Source organism: Homo sapiens, chromosome 1, assembly GCF_000001405.40.
Source record: "Homo sapiens chromosome 1, GRCh38.p14 Primary Assembly".
NCBI classification, from domain to species: domain Eukaryota; kingdom Metazoa; phylum Chordata; class Mammalia; order Primates; family Hominidae; genus Homo; species Homo sapiens.
Genome location: NC_000001.11, coordinates 206,104,047 through 206,117,709, shown reverse-complemented (window position 1 = coordinate 206,117,709; position 13,663 = coordinate 206,104,047). Strand labels below are relative to the sequence as shown.

The window sequence follows — 13,663 nt, the reverse complement described above, 5'->3', positions numbered from 1 at the left end:
ATCCCCCGGGGATGCACCTGTGGAGAGACGGCCCGAGAGTTCCAGGGTGAGTGCGCAGAGGAGCTTATCTGCCTGCCTGCGGGTCGGTGTGTCCTGCCGGCTGCTGGGCGCTGGCCTGCGTCGCCTGCTTGTCTCGCTCCCTGTCCCTCGTCCGCTACCCCCTCTGCCCCCCCTCCCTCCAGCAGCCGGCCTCTCGGTCATCCCGCCGGGTGGGTGCCTGCGAACCTCACTCCTCCCTCCTCTGCAGGAGCCAACTGGCGAGCCGCAGGCCGCCGGGCTCGGCCTGGGAGCCCATAAAACCCGCCCGAGCCGCGCCGCTGCGCTCCAGCCGCTGCTCACCAGGCAGAGCGAGCGGGCTTGGCTGGGGCTTCCTGCCCTGAGCGCGACACCGACTGCCCCGGACCGCGCCTCCAAGCAGGCTGAAGGGCTTCCGCTCTTGGCTTCCAGAAAAGTTTGGAGAAAGAGAATTTGAGGCGGATTGGAGGGTGGTAGCCCCTCCCCAGCCTTCTTTCCCTCCCAGAAGCCTCACTCTGCACAGCGTCCCCCATTCTTCCCGTCCTGATTCCCCATCTTCCTGACCCCTCCTTCTCCCTCTCCTGGGTCGATCCCAGTCACATTTTCTCCTTCCGAATCTCATCCTCCCTCCTCCTCTCTATCCCAGTCCTCTGAACGATTTCCGCCTATTTGCAAGCCTTCTCCCTGTCATTCTCAACGCTTCTCCTTTCTCTCCACCTCCCCTGCCACTCCATTTTATCCATCAAACCTCTCCACTTGCATCCACACCCTCCCTTCATCCTTCCCTCCCAGCAAACCTTGCTCATGGATTCTGGGCCTCTGTGGGATGCCAACCCCACCCCTCGGGGCACCCTCTCTGCCCCCAATGCCACAACACCCTGGCTGGGCCGGGATGAGGAGCTGGCCAAGGTGGAGATCGGAGTCCTGGCCACTGTCCTGGTGCTGGCGACCGGGGGCAACCTGGCTGTGCTGCTGACCCTGGGCCAGCTGGGCCGCAAGCGCTCCCGCATGCACCTGTTCGTGCTGCACTTAGCCCTGACAGACCTGGCCGTGGCGCTCTTCCAGGTGCTGCCACAGCTGCTGTGGGACATCACCTACCGCTTCCAGGGCCCCGACCTCCTGTGCAGGGCCGTCAAGTACCTGCAGGTGCTCAGCATGTTTGCCTCCACCTACATGCTGCTGGCCATGACGCTGGACCGCTACCTGGCTGTCTGTCACCCCCTGCGCAGCCTCCAGCAGCCAGGCCAGTCCACCTACCTGCTCATCGCTGCTCCCTGGCTGCTGGCCGCCATCTTCAGCCTCCCTCAAGTCTTCATTTTTTCCCTGCGGGAGGTGATCCAGGGCTCAGGGGTGCTGGACTGCTGGGCAGACTTCGGCTTCCCTTGGGGGCCACGGGCCTACCTCACCTGGACCACCCTGGCTATCTTCGTTCTGCCGGTGACCATGCTCACGGCCTGCTACAGCCTCATCTGCCATGAGATCTGTAAAAACCTAAAAGTCAAGACACAGGCCTGGCGGGTGGGAGGAGGGGGCTGGAGGACTTGGGACAGGCCCTCACCTTCCACCTTAGCTGCCACCACTCGGGGGCTGCCATCTCGGGTCAGCAGCATCAACACCATCTCACGGGCCAAGATCCGAACAGTGAAGATGACCTTTGTCATCGTGCTGGCCTACATCGCTTGCTGGGCTCCCTTCTTCAGTGTCCAGATGTGGTCCGTGTGGGACAAGAATGCCCCTGATGAAGGCAAGTGGGGTCTATGTGGGGGCAGTGAGGTGGGAGAGACAGAAAGAGAGGATGGGGGATTAGGTCAGGGTTACAATGCCTCCCAGGGCCAGGCAGGTGACAAACTAGTGGGGCAATGAAGGAAGATGGTGCCTGCTCCAAGTGAAAAGGGGCAGTTATGATTTCCATTCAGCCTACCGATGCCATGTCAGTATCTTTTACGTGAAATTTCCAGCTTTAAAAATTTTGGTAACTAACAATTTTAAAATACTAGGTGGTACTAATGAAATATGACCATTAGCACATTTGGCCACCAACTACTAGTTTGCTAGATGGGCTTTAAAATCATAGAATGATAGCAATTTGTGGCCCATGAACTTGCTCTCTCAGCCTTGTCCCTCCTGCACCTGGACATGCCTTTGAGCTCCTTCTCAACAGACACTTCCAGTTAATTAGGGTTGGCACATGAAAACCCTGAAATTTCCAGTTCAACCTCTTCATGTTACTAATGAGGAAACAGAGGCTCAGAGAGGAACTGTTACCAGCTGATGTGGTGAAGTCCCAGGTTCTTGGTGCCACGAACAAAGAATTGGATGTGACACACACAAATAGCAAAGTAGCAAAAGTTTATTAAGCACAGTAACACTCTCGGAGAGGGGAGAGTGGGCTAAGCTCTGTGAAATGAGATCGGCGTCAGTTTGGTGTACTTTGGGCCTTTTTATGTGTTTTTTTTTTCTCTTCCCCGAGCTGCCTAATCTTTAACCAGCATCTGGCTTTTGATTGATAGGTAGGTTGCTTAGTTACTTTGGCCCTTGTGCACTTGCACGTAACCTTCATCTCATAATTTTAAGTGCATGCATGCTATGCAGTACCTATGCATGAGCTTTAATGAGCTGATTCTCATATGGGGTCATTTTAGGGATACTTTTTCTCTTTAATATACATGCCCATCTCTGAGGAGCTGCCCCTTACTGGATTGGTCTGAATCTAGCCAACCATGGGGGCTCTTGACTCACTTCATATAACTTTTGTTTTGGCTCAGCTTCTGCTTCTTATCTTGCCTCTTGCTCACCCTCCTCTTTATCCTGCTTCTGCTCCTACTCATTCTGCTTTTTATCCAACCTCTAATTCCCTCTGCTGTTTTCCTGCCTCAGAACCATGACTTGCCCCAGGCCTCACAGCTAGGGAGTGACAAAGTGAAGAATAAAGCCCAGGTCTTCTGTCTCCTTGTCTTTTTCCTCAACCCCATTAATAACCCTGATTTTAAAAGTGGTTCTAAAAGGAGGGAGACCTTTCTCCTGTGTGAAAAACAACATGGGAACCTCTAAGAGGACTGTGCTACAGTTGGCACATGGGAGGCCTGGCTCTCATCATTTTTCTGGGGTGTAGTAGACAGTGTCCTCCTGAGCTTTAGACAGTGCCTGATGGTCTGGCCGTCCAGAGGTGAACTTGTTCTCAGGAAGGCAGGGGCTGTGTCTAGGCAGCCTAAGTGTTGGAGAGCAGTATTCAGAACAGCTGCTCCTGCTCCCCTAAGCAGGAGTGAGGCATGAGGACAAGTGCATGCTGACCTGTCTGGGTGGCTATGAAGAGGGGTGATTGTGCCCTGCAGTGCATCTCATAGTGTGCACAGCTCAGGATGTATAGTGGGTAACACCTGCAAGTGTCCTAGGCAGGCCCTGTGCACAGGTTCCTCTGGAAGCTTCCTGAGAGTTCACTAAGCAGCAGTCTCAGGCCACCAATTCCCACCAGTGGTCCCCTTCCTTTGTATTGTTGTTTCTGATCTCATTTTGCTCATCCCAGGACGTGCTTAAGCCAAATGCTTTGCTTTTCTGGAGAGATGAAATAGAGGAGAGCCATTCATGAATTTAATACAACCATGCAAGAGGCGTGCAAAAGTAATACCAAACTTCCTTCTTAATACAATATCCCTTCTTAATCGCCCTTTTGACATCGTCTGGGCAAGAGATTATTTGCAGATTATCCTTTAAGCAATGAGCAATTCTAATTAATTCTAGCCAACTGTAGGGACCTCCCTGCTCTAGCCAAGCACAGAATAGAAGGAAGGAGGGTTTCCTAGGCACAGGCACATTCAGCCCTCATGCTACTGAGGAGTGGCCTTCTGTATTTTAAATTTGAGTCACCTGAGACTCATAGAGGCAAAATAACTGGTCCAAAATGCCACTGCTAGTGAGAGATAGAGCTTGGGCTTGAATTGAGGTCTTTATGGGCCAAGCTTCATCCAGGTCATGGCTTTACTCCCAACATTGTGGCATAGCCAGTGGCACCGGGGTGAGATGGTCATCTGCCTCTTTATTGAGGAGAAGATGGTGCTCCTGCCACTCAGCCAGTGCAGACTTTCCTACTTGCCTGTAGTATCAACTATCATCATCAACCTGTCCCTCAACACCTCAGCCCTCACTTGTGTAGAGTGATTCACCACTTACCAAGGACCTCTCTGGGCAAGGAATGCATGGGACAGTGGGTTGTCCCAAAGGGTTATCTTACAGACAATGTGCTCCCAGAAAAATGAAAGCCCTTGGGGGAGAAATTCATTACTTTAAACTTGCTTTCCAGTACACACAGTTCCCCTCCTCTGCATGCCGGCCTGTTTGCCCCCTAGCCCCAAGTCTTTGGTCAGAGCCTGCTTGTTTCCTTGTCCCTGCCCCTGTCCCCGACCATCAGCTGAGTTTCTGGCAGGAGGCAACGGAGGCCAGGACTGGGTGTGGTAGATCCACCCTCAAGGGCTGGGAAGCACAGCCTCCACTGCCTCTGGCACCTGCTCTGCAGCACCTCCTCTGTGGCACGTCTCCAGCCCCTACCAAGGCCTGGCTCACGTGAGCCAAACCAAACAGGCACTTCCTAAATGAAGGAACCTGTGGAACTCCTTTGTCCCTGGCTTAATCTGGACACTAAATGCACATCGATGGAGCAGACAGGATGAATACTGTCCCCTCAGCCAAAGCCACTTCCCAAATCTTCCGCAACTTGTAGTTACACATTAACTAGGGAGCAGGCCAGAAACCAGGCAAAACGGAAGGAAGGCTGAGCTTGTTTTGGGGGCTTGTCCCTTGTGTTAGTCCATTTGCATTGTTATAAAGGAATACCTGAAACTGAGAAATTTATAAAGAAAAGAGGTTTACTTTGGCTTACAGTTCTGCAGGCTATACAAGTAGCATGGTGCCAGGCTGGGTGTGGTGGCTCATGCCTGTAATCCCAGCACTTTGCGAGGCTGAGGCAGGGGGATCAATTGATTCCAAGAGTTCAAAACCAGCCTGGGAAACAGTGAGACCTCATCTCTACTAAATATAAAAAAAATTAGCCAGGCATGGTGGCACACTGGTTCACCCCTCTGGTCCCATCTACCGAGGATGCTGAAGTAGAAGCATTGCTTGAGCACAGGAGGTCAGGGCTGCAGTGAGCCATAATCACACACTGCACTCCAGCCTGAGGGTCAGAGCGAGACCCTGTCTCAAAAAGAAAATTAAAAAGAAGAATAGTGCCGGCATCTGCTTCTAGCGAGGGCCTCAGGAAGCTTCCAATCATGGCAGAAGGTGAAGGGGGAAGCCAGCGTATCACATGGTGAGAAAGGACAAGACAGAGAAGGGAGAGGTCCCAGACTCTTTCAAACAACCAGATCTCATGTGAAACAACTGACCTGTGATCCAATCACCTCCCATCAGGCCCACGTCCAACACTGCGGGCTACATTTCAACATGAGATTTGGAGGGCACAAACATCCAAACTCTTTTTCTCCCTGTCTCTCTTTTTTTTTTCTTGAGATGGAGTCTTGCTCTTGTCACCCAGGCTGGAGTGCAATGGCGCGATCTCAGCTCACTGCAATCTCTGCCTCTCGGGTTCAAGCGATTCTCCCGCCTCAGCCTCCCAAGTAGCTGGGACTACAGGTGCACATCACCACAGCCGGCTAATTTTCCATATTTTTAGTAGAGACAGGGTTTCACCATGTTGGCCAGGCTGGTCTTGAACTCCTGACCTCAGGTGATCCATCTGCCTCGACCTCCCAAAGTGTTGGGATTACGGGCGTAAGCCACTGCGCCCAGCCGACATCCAAACCATATCATCCCTCTTCTACTTCCAGGTGCTTCCCACTCTACCTTCACTTCTGTTCCCTGAACCAGTCCATCCAGGCCCAGATACCTTTAGCTTCCCACTCCTATGACTCATGTTCTCTATCAAATGTTCTCGGCCTATGTCTTCCCTTCTCTTGAGCCATGAGTTGCCACATCCACGAGCATGCCCCTGGGACACGTGCACAAAGAGCCTGTGCATCTGAAGCTTTCACAGTGTTTTGCAGAGTAGGCAGTTGAGCTTTGCCTTTTATTTTACTGGTTGAAGCTCTGGTGGAGTATAGGATCTCTACCTTAGAGCTGAAAGACTTCGAGTTGCAGCTCTTACTAACTGTGCTATAAAAACTAGAAAGCTTACTTCTAAGGTTCCTTCCAGTTCTGAAATTGCTTTCAATGATTCTACAACCTCCACTGAAGAGTGAGGTGACTCAGTATGCCACCTATGCCATGGCTATAACCATGACAGATCCAGCAGGAGGCCAAAGCTCATCCTAGCAGCTTTCCTGCTGACATGAGGGTTTCATTTAGTCTTTAGAAAGAATATTTTGTCTGGAAGGAATCTTATAGCCTTGGCATCCTCACATTTTGACTGCCCAAGAGAGAAATTAGTTTTTCCCTGCAGAAAGGTACAGTTCCTAGGCACAATCTAAGAACACAGAACAAGTTCTGGTCTGGAGAGGGGTGCTTGGAGGCCCAGTATGTAAAAGCTGCCCCCTTGGCTGTAGGGGGCAATGATGGCATAGGTGTCGATAGGGCAGTCAGGCTCCATTGATTGCCCCATCAGGTCCCCAGCATAGAGTCAGGCAGAGTCGATGCCCACACACTCAATGACTGAATATAGAATGAGTGGGCCTGCCCCTGAGGGATAGAAGGAGACAGAGTCCAGGAGGCCATGTGAATCCATGATGTATAATGTAAGTGGGGATGGAGATGGGCGGGGCCTGAGCTTGGTTATTTTCCCTGCCTGTTTTACAGAAGTTGTCTCATTCTAGGTCTACAGCCATTAGGGGACTCAAGGTCTAGGTTTTGGAATAAAGTCAGTTTCTCCTATCTGGGCTGATCCTATCCCTGACAACATTCCTTCTTCTCAATTAAACTTGAAGGAAACCTCAGCTCCTACCTTCACCCTGCAGTTACACAACAAAAACAAACAAACAAAATCAGCATGGTAAGACTCTGGAGCCAGGAGTCCCAGGTTCAAGTCTCAGCTGTGTGTGTCTCTCTAATTATAGGACACTGAGTGACTCCTTTCCCCTCTCTAGGACTCAGTTTCCTCATCTGTTCCTCATCTGTGGGGCCTGGACGCTCTCCCAGGTCCCTTCGAGCTGCCATTCTGAGGCTTCTCATGCTTCTCTCTTGGTAGATTCCACCAATGTGGCTTTCACCATCTCTATGCTTTTGGGCAACCTCAACAGCTGCTGCAACCCCTGGATCTACATGGGCTTCAACAGCCACCTGTTACCGCGGCCCCTGCGTCACCTTGCCTGCTGTGGGGGTCCCCAGCCCAGGATGCGCCGGCGGCTCTCCGACGGCAGCCTCTCGAGCCGCCACACCACGCTGCTGACCCGCTCCAGCTGCCCGGCCACCCTCAGCCTCAGCCTCAGCCTAACCCTCAGTGGGAGGCCCAGGCCTGAAGAGTCACCAAGGGACTTGGAGCTGGCAGATGGGGAAGGCACCGCTGAGACCATCATCTTTTAGGAAAGACTCGCTGGGGTCTGGTACTGCCCCCAGGACTAGTGGAGGTTCTCTGCCCACCTCGGGCACTGGAAATGAGAGCTGGGAGGGTAAGGGTTGGAGTTAGAGGAGCCCTGTCTAAAGCGGAGCGAAAAGGCCAGAATGGGTCCCCTACCCTGGTGTCACAGCTGCCCCTAGTGTGAGGGCTGCCTCATAAGCTCCCAATCTCAGACACTGGCAGTCAGGGAGAATCAAACTGCCTGTCTCCCTGGTCCTGCCATATTCATAGGGTGTCCATGCACACATGGTGTCCCAGATCTAGGCAGGCCTAGGATGGTGCTGTCTAGGGGTCCACGGGTGGCAGGAATTCAGAGGCTGGCCTTGTGCCCTGGCTACCTGTCTCCATTCTAACCTGACTGGCACATCTCAGCCTAACCAGGAGAGGGGAGAAGTGAAAAACCGTGAGGAGGACTCTATTTGGATCCTGGATTTGTTGTTGTTGTTGTTGTTGTTAGAGAGAAAATTGCTTCATGAAGAAAAGTGAATGGATATGTAGGGATTACCCTGCTGTGCCCAGCTGTCTGTTGAAGGGAGATGGTCTCATGGAGATGCAGGATTCAGTATAGTACCTGGTACCTAGCAGGAACTCTGCAAATGCCAGTCCCTCTTCTCCTCGTGCCACCCCCCATGACAGCGTGGATGACGGGAAAGTGTTGTATATTCTCTGTGGTCTGGTCCACTGTCAGTGTGGGTGGGAAGAAAGAGGGAGGGAAGGAGAAGATGAAAATGGTCATCATAAAATTAACAGCAAGAATAAGCCTCAAGGGCAGCAGGGACTTGTGGCCCTCCCTCCTTTCCCCAACCCACCCCCCAGGGAATCCAGCCTGCTCTTTCCCCGGGGGCTACACAGAGGAGACCTCCTTTGAGAAAAGGTGACATCATCATGGCTCTGGACACCCTCCAGGCTCTTCAGAGCTTCCACCATGAACCATATGGATGCTGTGATCCAGTTAGGAGCCCGGGTTTGAATCTCAGCTCTGCCTTCAGTATCTGTGTGACCTTGGGTGAGTCACTCTCCCTTTCCAGGACCCAGTCTCCTCACCTGTGTAATAGGTGAGATGATCTCTAAACTCCAACCTTCCATGACTCTGCAATACTGGAAATGGTGTTACAGAGAAACACAAAGGATATTATAACCAACAGGGTCTAGAAGAGTTGTTGCATTTTTATGACAATGGCATTGATATACTCTTTGACTCAATTCTGGTGACGGTGGGTCCCACCATGGCCATACTGTCCACTTTTGTCCTCATCTGGGATGCTGAATCCTCCTCCAAGGCTGGGAGAGGCTGCAGGCCAAGGTAGACCGAGGTAGAGGAAGAGCATGGCACATGCTCATTATCTCCAGGGGACTTTTATCATGGCATAGCTTCCCCAACCCAATTCTGATTCCAATTGAAGAGAGAGCCTTGCTGGTGGAAAAGACATCAGCTGAAACATCAGCAAAGCTGCATCCTGGTTCTGCCACCACCAATGACACACATCAATAAAATGCTGGCCAGTCCTTGCTAGCTTGGTTCTGAGAATCAAATAGGACTGTGGATATAAAAGTCATTTGTAAAGTCATGAGCTCTATACTAACGTAAGGAATTACTAATCTAATTAAGAGCTCCTGAGGGAAGCTCTAGGGAACACTTTCAGTCTCTACCCCTGACTCCCAGGGAAGCTTTGAGGAATGACTGTGGCTTTGCGGATATACTTCTTTAAGAGGCCACTCAGCTCTAAGAAGCCTCCTGAGGCTTTCTAAAAAGAAAAGAGCCTTGCTGAATGTTGTGAGTGAGCAAAGCGTCCCAGTCCTTCAGTGCTAGAGAACTGGAGAGTGAGACCCTAATGGGACCAAGGCTCAGGCAGATGGGAGGACCCACAGTCTCCCTCTCACTGAGTTCTGTTGCCCATGTCAGCCCCTGACATCTAATACTTCTTCCCTGTCTATCTGCCCTGGTGAAGTGGGCTTAGAAGCCTCCCATGCCAGCCAGAGCTGTTGAATCTGCTCCTTCCCCTGCTTACAAAAGCGGCCTCCCCACCCCCTTGCCCCATCTTTAGACCACAGTTTCTGACCCTAATGCCTAGAGTTGGTAAATCTTTGTTCTTCATGATGACTGGGAGGTAGAAGGAACACCAGCTGTGTGCCCCAAAGACCTGGGTTTGCATCTTGATCTCACCCCTTTTCTACCTGTATCAACTTAAGCAAGTTATCCAATCTCCCCCAGCAATGCTTTCTTCATTTATTAAATAGAAATAGCAATGCCCACTTTGTTGGGAGGGATTTGTAAGATTGTAGACTAGAGATAGAGCACTCAACAGATGTTAGAGAGGGGAACAATGGCCTGGCTCCAGATTGCATCTGGTAGATGACCTCCAGGGTCCTGACCCAAAAGAGTCTACAGTTCAGAGAGGAAAAGAGGAGACAGACCTGGGATCAAGGCTGACTAAAGCACTTTCTTGTCTACCCTTTGCCTTCTATAGATCCCCTCTTACTACTATGATATTTTCTGTTTTGCATTGCACAAGAATAATTTACTTGGGGTGGTGGCTTTGGAGCCCTCATTGTTCCTCCCATGGAAAGGCTACACTTGATCTTTTCCAGAAAGCTGGTTCTGTCCTGTGATATGGACAGTGGGGAGCGACTGCACACTGGCTGAGGGCCTCGGGAACCCATTCCAGGAAGCTCCTGAAGGAAATGGTGGATCTCATCGGATCTATGAGTGAAAGTTCTGCAGGACCTGTAGGAGGCTCGCCTGGACAGTCTGGGCCAGTGGAAGGGCCTTGGATAGGGTTCAAGGAGGAGGGGCCCTGTGGAAGCAAGAAGGAGGCTCTGTGCTCTCTGGGGTGAATCCCATTTCTGACGGCTAACCCCAGGAGAAACTGAACAATGCCGTCTCTGGCTGGGCACTTGTGTAAATTGTTTATGCCATCCTGTGACTGTGAATGACAGTACTTTAGTCCCTTAAAACCTATGTACAAGCAGGACATGAGGGGCAGACGGGACAGAGAGGAGGACAGGAGGGGTTCATCGGTTGACTACGGGGATTTCTCAGAATCGTTATGTTGTTTGGCACAGGCCAGTACTTTCCCAGATAATGTGTCTGTGTTTTGTATGTAAATAGATCACTTATCTACTACAGGGCTATAGATTCAGCCCAGGCTGTAGCAGTTCATTCCTGGGTCAGAAACCCAGGTTGAAATTCACCAATAAAAAGATTTAATATCCAGGAAATTCCTGCGCATCTTTAGTTTTCTAGGGACAATGATAATTGGATGTGCAAGATAAAATTAAAGTGTGTTTGTCTTGAGTGAAGGGGTGAGGTTGCTGGGGAAAGGGGCCACCCTGCATCCAGTTTAAGTGGGAAAAGCAGTGTCTTCGAGTTTGCCATAGGACCACAAGGTGGCAGTGTGGAGCCAAAAGTGGGCCTGGCCTCCGCTGGGCTTGACTTGGCAGCTCCTGCCTAAGAATCAGGGTAAGGCCCTTTCTCTAGCCAAATATTGCTGAGATCCAGTGCACATTCTTTAACTCTCCTGGAGGATATGAAGCAGTAATGACTAACAGGGAAGGCTAGGAAAGTCACCCAGCCTCTTAGCTTGTGAGTCCTCAAGTTCCAAAGAGTCTTGGTCCCTCACTTGACCCGGTTCTCCTGAGATACATGGACACACACTGGGTTCTCTCTAAACCCACGGAGATTTGGCAAGGCAAAGAACAAGAGGTTTCTACTGCAAGGTGAGGAAATGAGTATAGGAATTCCTGCCCAAAAGGCAGCAAGACACATGAGTCAGTGTTTGAGGGCCCTAGTAGGACCTCAAAAAGCCACATGAGCTATAGTTACTTTACGGGTTCTGGTTTAGAATCTGGGGGCATGGGTTAGGAGGCTTCTCTGAGAGTGCCTCGGAGCCCAGCAATCTGTCCCAATTCCAGAAGCAAAGAAACCCACTGATGTTGAGCGTAAAATACCTCCTCACCCTAGCACGTCTTGGTGGCTAATAGGATGCTCGTGGAATTTTGCTGCAGTTCCCATGGTGAGCATTTGGATGCTTGCTCCTTTAGAATAAGAATTCATTGAAAACAGGTCACATTTATTATGGTCTACTGTGGTCTATATTCCTAGGTCATTGTTGGCATGTAATCCACCATCTACTGGTTGCCAATAGCAAATCAGTTTTTCTGTGTCTTATTATCAGATAATTTTGGAAAAATCTTTGTCCAGTCCATGTCCATGGAGAAACCCAGTGTGAAACAGTATGATTGTTTCTGGGAGGTACCAATGACATATAACGTGGGAGAATGTGACTTCACTGAACTGGAAGCTATGCTCCTCAAAGGGTGGTTACTCATACAGGTGACTATTTGTACCGATTTAGACAGCTCACCCTTGAAGCTCATGGAAATATGACAAACAAAAGGCCATTTTGTTTCTACGTGGCTTGCAATGACTTTGAGGATTAGTTCAATTTGTTAGCTGGCCCCAATTATTAGCTTATTGGCTCAAACTCCTCAGGAGGTGACATCAGCCTTCCTCTGTACTTATGAGGGCATCTGAGCAGTCATGTGCACTATTGAAGTTCTAACCTCTGTAAGTCACTTGGTAGGGTCACACGTTTAAATCTACTGTTAAATCTAACTGTTAAATCTAACAGCACTCTCCAAGAATGCCTTCACTTAATAAGCAATCAGGGTGGGTTCTAATGTTAACCTCCATGATATATTCACTACTGAATGTCATATTTCTGAAGCAGAGTTTATTACAGAGCTTAATCAGATGGTCTACAATCATTCTAGCCTCTGGTCTCTGGTCTCCCTGACGTCAACTCCCTGCGCCAGAGTATCACAGCAGCCTCTGAGCCCAGACACAGACAGTTCTCCAGACAGTGCCACTCTGGGCCGCCCCTCAGGCATTTATTGAGAGCCTGCAGCAGGTCAGGTCTGTTCCTTTTCCTCCTGCCTTTTCTCCCATCAGTTGATTTTCCACCCTTTTTTTCTTTTTTGGCGGGGGGGACGGAGTCTCGCTCTGTCCCCAGGCTGGAGTGCAGCGGCACGATCTCGGCTCATTACGAGCTCCGCCTCCCGGGTCCACACCATTCTCCTGCCTCAGCCTCCCGAGTAGCTGGGACTACAGGCGCCGGGCACCACGCCCGGCTAATTTTTTGTATTTTTAGTAGAGACGGGGTTTCACCATGTTAGCCTGGATGGTCTTGATCTCCTGACCTTGTGATCCGCCCACCTTGGCCTCCCAAAGTGCTGGGATTACAGGCGTGAGCCACCGCGCCCGGCCTCCGCCCTTTTTTTCTAAACTGAGGTCAGAAATCACCTCTTTCTGGGATGTTTTTTCTGATTAAGGCTGGCTGATTCTAACATCCTATTCCCCGGATCTGTGTAAATACTGATAGGCTCTGGTTTCATTGCTCTGTGTTCATTGTTTTTTACATGTTGTTTTGTACATGCTCTCTGGCTCTTTCCTGTCCCCACAATTAGGTCATAGATGCCTTGACCCCACCCAATCTTCTTTTTGTTGATCTCTCCTCTCAACACCCAAGGCCTGTCCCAGAATTCTGCGGAAAGCAGGCAGTCTGTTTACTCTCATCCCCTCTCCTGGTGGGAGCTGTCTCAGCATTGTCCCTGCGGTGTCTCTTGGGTGCAATGTAACTTGTCTGAATCTCTTCAGTACACTCTTGAATTTTTTTTTCTTTTCTTTTTTTTTGAGACGGAGTCTTGCTCTGTCACCTAGGCTGGAGTGCAATGGCACGTCTTGGCTCACTGCAACCTCTGCCTCCCGGTTTAAGCCATTCTCCTGCCTCAGTCTCCTGAGTAGCTGGGATTACAGGCGTGCACCACCACAACAGGCTAATTTTTATATTTTTAGTAGAGGCGGGGTTTCACCATGTTGACCAGGCTGGTCTCGAACTCCCGACCTGAAATGATCCAACCGCCTTGGCCTCCCAAAGTACTGGAATTATAGGCGTGAGCCACCGCGCCTGGCATTTTTTCCCCCTTTTTTTAAGAGATCAGGCCGGGTGCAGTGGTTCATGCCTGTAATCCCAGTGCTTCGGGATGCTGAGGTAGGAGGATCTGTTGAGGTCAGGAGTTCAAGAGCAGCCTGGGCAACATAGTGAAACC

At 50.7% G+C, this 13,663-nt stretch overlaps 1 protein-coding gene across 1 annotated transcript; it reads left to right on the top strand.

Moving 5' to 3' along the window:
* Positions 1-321: 321 nt before the first annotated feature.
* AVPR1B (arginine vasopressin receptor 1B) lies at positions 322-10,774 on the top strand. The gene is made up of 2 exons (NM_000707.5): positions 322-1,759; positions 7,187-10,774. The coding sequence occupies exons 1-2, from the start codon at positions 820-822 to the stop codon at positions 7,519-7,521; spliced, it is 1,275 nt and encodes a 424-aa protein (NP_000698.1). The 5' UTR covers positions 322-819; the 3' UTR covers positions 7,522-10,774.
* Positions 10,775-13,663: the final 2,889 nt, after the last annotated feature.

Coding starts and splice junctions, on each gene's coding strand:
- AVPR1B (NM_000707.5), top strand. CDS start 820: ATGGATTCTGGGCCTCTGTGGGATGCCAACCCCACCCCTCGGGGCACC. Junction 1,760..7,186: donor CAAGAATGCCCCTGATGAAG/GCAAGTGGGGTC, acceptor CTCTCTTGGTAG/ATTCCACCAATGTGGCTTTC.